Source organism: Homo sapiens, chromosome 3, assembly GCF_000001405.40.
Source record: "Homo sapiens chromosome 3, GRCh38.p14 Primary Assembly".
NCBI lineage: Eukaryota > Metazoa > Chordata > Mammalia > Primates > Hominidae > Homo > Homo sapiens.
This window is the reverse complement of record NC_000003.12, coordinates 19,816,444-19,820,537: the sequence shown is the minus strand read 5'-3', so window position 1 is coordinate 19,820,537 and position 4,094 is coordinate 19,816,444. Positions and strand designations below refer to the sequence as shown.

General features: G+C 39.9%; 1 annotated feature.

Annotated features, from left to right (window-relative positions):
- Positions 2,684-2,853: an enhancer, noted in NCBI's record as "experimental_67588 CRE fragment used in MPRA reporter constructs". NCBI's record gives its function as "activates a minimal promoter by MPRAs in K562 erythroleukemia cells, with activity observed for the non-introgressed 3:19859262 variant allele {active_cell/tissue: K562}" and the evidence as "EXISTENCE:reporter gene assay evidence [ECO:0000049][PMID:34662402]".

Here is a 4,094-nt window from a genome sequence, read left to right as displayed (position 1 = left end):
CCCAGTGAGCAATATAAATATGTATTTTATGTCCATATTTAGGCATATTGCAATTAAAGTTCAAAATAACAAAGATGATTTGAAAATATTATGTATCAAACACGGTTTTACTTACTGGACAGTATGTAGTATAGGTTGTGCATTTATTTAACACAACTTTTAAGCATTTCTTGGGGGCCAGGCATTGTGTCAGATGACTAGGGATTTAGAAACATATGAGAGATGATTGGCATAGTCAGCTTTGGCTGCCATAACAAGATGCTATAGACTTGAGGCTTAAGCAACAGAAATTTATTTCTCACAGTTCTAGAGGCTAGGAAGTCTAAGATCAAGGAGCAAGCAAGGTATGTTTTATTCTGTGGTCTCTTCTCTTGGCTTACAGGCAGCTGCCATCTTGCTGTGTGCACACAGCACAGACCTCTTCTTCATGCATCGGGGGAGAGAGAGACAGACAGAGAGAGAGAGAGAGAGAGAAAGCAGTTTTGTGTCTCTTCTTATAAGGGCACTAATTCAATCATGAGGGCTCCAACTCACTTACCTCAAATTACCCCCTATCTCCAGATATTGTCACCTTGGGGTTTACAGGCTCAATATATGAATTTTGGGGAGACACAGCAATAATCGTTTCCTTAAACTCTTTGGGGGCAGCAATAGACATGTCAGTGAATAACTGCAACTACAGGCTAACAAATGGGACAATAGAGTATACACTTAAAAAGATGGGGCAGCACAAGGGGGCAATTAGCCTGGTCAGGAGAGACCAATGGAAATATTTCCCATCCAGCTGAATTGCTCTGGTAATAAGCTGTGGGCGTGAAAAGACTGGCGGCAGGGAAAACACAGGTGTAAGGTATGTTACTGAAGTCTAGTTACTAGGGTTAATGTGTGGTTACTGGAGTGATGCACAGAGGTCCAAATGATTTCTGGAAAGCTTTCAATCACAAGCAAGTCATGAAATCACAGACTAGGGAAATAAACCTAACTATCTATGTTTCGGTTGTATCTCCAAGGAAAACAAAGGAGCAAAAAATTTATGTAGAATTTTAAGGGAAGAATACATTGTTTCTTTTATTTTTTTTATTTTTTTGAGTCAGAGTCTTGCTCTGTCACCCAGGCTGGAGTGCAATGGTATGGTCTTGGCTCACTGCAACCTCCACCTTCTGGGTTCAAGCAGTTCTCCTGCCTCAGTCTCCCGAGTAGCTGGGATTACAGGCTCCCGCCACCACGCCTGGCTAATTTTTGTATTTTTAGTAGAGACAGGTTTTCAACATATTGGCCAGGCTGGTCTCTTGGCCAGGCTGGTCTCGAGCTCCTGACCTCGGGATCCACCCACCTCAGCCTCCCAGAATGCTGGGATTACAGGCATAAGCCATGGTGCCTGGCCTGCATTGTTTCCTAATAGTGTGCTTTGAGTTGACCTTACATGGCTTTTATCTACAAAGGGGCTACGCAATGGGGTAAGTTGAGTTAGTAATAAACACAGTGAACCCTTTTGTTGTTGAAATCTGTAAGTAAGATGGTATTTCGTTAAAACTTTTTTGTTATTTAGCTGTTGATTATTAAAAGAAAGGTATCACCAGTACTGGAAATAATTTAAAGTGGTTTTTTTTTTTTTGGCAGGGTCTCACTCTGTCACCCAGGCTGGAGTGCAGTGGTGCAAACTTGGCTCACTGATGCCTTGACCTCCCTGGGCTCAGGTGATCCTCCCATCTCAGCCTCTGGAGTAGCTTGGACCATAGGCATATGCCACCACGCCCAGCTAATTTTTGTATTTTTAGTAGAGACAGGGTTTTGCCATGTTGCTCAGGTTGGTCTCGAATTCCTCAGCTCAAGTGATCCACTCATCTCGGCCTCCCAAAGTGCAGAGATTATAGGTGTGAGCCACTATGCCCGGCTAATTTAAGGTTTTATAAAATAACTTAGCTGGAGACTAATACCCCAACCAATTTATACAGGGAACTAATGATAATAATTAAATAAATTGCAAATATGGATATAATTGAAATAATGAGACTGTTCTATCACCTGCAGCTCTCTACATAAGTCCTAGCATACTGGTTCTATTACCACTCATGTTGGTAAGAAAATGCTAAAGGGAACTGGATGTATTCGATTCCACATTGTTAGACTATATTTCCATGATGGTTATAAAAAGACAATTCGACATGGTGGAATGAAGGGGTAAAATTAGCTGATGAGGGGTTGTGCCTTCACAGTCCAATCTAATTTCAACAAACAAATGCATAAGTGATTGTTAATAGCATAAACAAAATTCTAGCATTACATCATGTGGCACTTATGGTGAGAGGGTCATTTGTTTTCCATCTTTTCTTAGGTTCTTTGATTCTAAGGTCTATGTTTGTTTGTTTGTTTCTGGGTACCACAAATGTGTTCCTAGGAGGTAGTCATGTTTGGATATAAACTGTTAGCCATTTCCACCTTTTCAAGAATAAGTTGCTCAAGTTATCTAGCTTAGAAAACAGAGTGAGCTATTATGCATGTGACAGTGGACAGGCAAATCTTGCTAAGAAGGAGTGAGGGATATGGACATGAGACAATTCTTTGGGAAACAGTGGAGCAAAATTGCAAACTTTGGCTTTGATGCCACCTCCTCTTTCTGAACATACCTCCTCTCCACAGTCATCACATCCTGGAATCTCATCCTACTTAATTCACGATCAATTAATTGACACATATGGGTGACAATGTGTTTTTCTTCCTAAAAGCATATATGCCTTTTAATAATAAAGCTATTGTAACTCAAAAATGCATTGTTAGTAGACTTTAAGCAAACGGTCTTAAATAGAAAATCTTTAGGAGATCTAAGGAAGGCCAGTCATAGAAACTTCAGCTGGAATCCCTTGGCAGGCATAAGGAAATTCAAAGGACAGGGAAGTTGTGTGTGCTGGAAAGAGAGGCTGATAACAAAAATGGTAATATTGAAAAGATAAATATGGTAGGCTACACCAGTGGATGGAGGTAGAAAGAAGGGAAACCAAGGTAATGGCATTCAAAAAATAATTAGCTTTAGTTCTAGAGATTGCATGGCAACTCTTATTTTCAAACTTTTGAAGAACAGGGTAACAGTCACCTCTTTGAAATTTTATGTGATACACAGCTTGGATTCAAGAAAGTAATCATTCCAGGCCTCGATCCCCTGAGGCCTTCTGAGGAGATACCAGGCTAACTAGGATTCAGTCTTTTCTTCCTCTCAGTCTTTAGTTCTGGCATTTTTCATCAACATATGTGTCCTTTGGGTATTCTAACCACGAACATTAAAAAAAAGTTTTTATTGTGGAAAATTTCAAGTGTACACCAAAGTAAAGAGAATTGCCTAGTGAACCCCATGTACCAGCTTCACGTGGTTTCAACAATCATCAGCATTTGTTAGTCTTGTTTCCTTATTCCCACGTAATGCTCTTCTCACCTCCTTTTTAAGCTAAAATATTTTGAAGCAAATCCAAGACAGGATGTCATTTTACCTGTAAATATTTCAGTAAAACAATGGCCATCTTGACTTAATAAACATAGATATAGAAATTGGAATAAAAATATATTTAAGTTCTACTGTGTTCAGAACTCTGTGCTAAGCACTTTGCCTGTGTTATGTCGTCCTTTCACCATCCAGTGAGCCAGGCTTAATTGTTCTCACTTTTCTAATGGGGAAACTGAAGCCCCAAGAGGTCCAGTAAATTGCCAAAGATCACATAACTAGGAAGTGATGCAACTGGGATTCAAATTTGCTTTCACTCTCAAGAGCTTGTGCCCTTAACCATTGTATACAAATGCCTCAGCAGTACAACATACCTGTCTTCTGAAAACAGGCCCACAAGGAACACTCTTGCATAGGTGAAAGAATGACTTTGCATAACACAATTTATTCTATTGCTTAGTGTCCTTAAATAAATCTCTTCTTGACTGAGAATTGTTGAGCAGAAAGAATACTGGGTTTGGAGTCAAATGGCTTTAGGTTGGGCACGTTGTTTCATCACGTTATGGAGGCGAGACTTCGGGCAAGTTACCCAGGTTCTGAGTCTCAGTTTTCTCATCAATTACTGTGAAGATTAAATGAGATACTAGAAGTCCTAGAACAG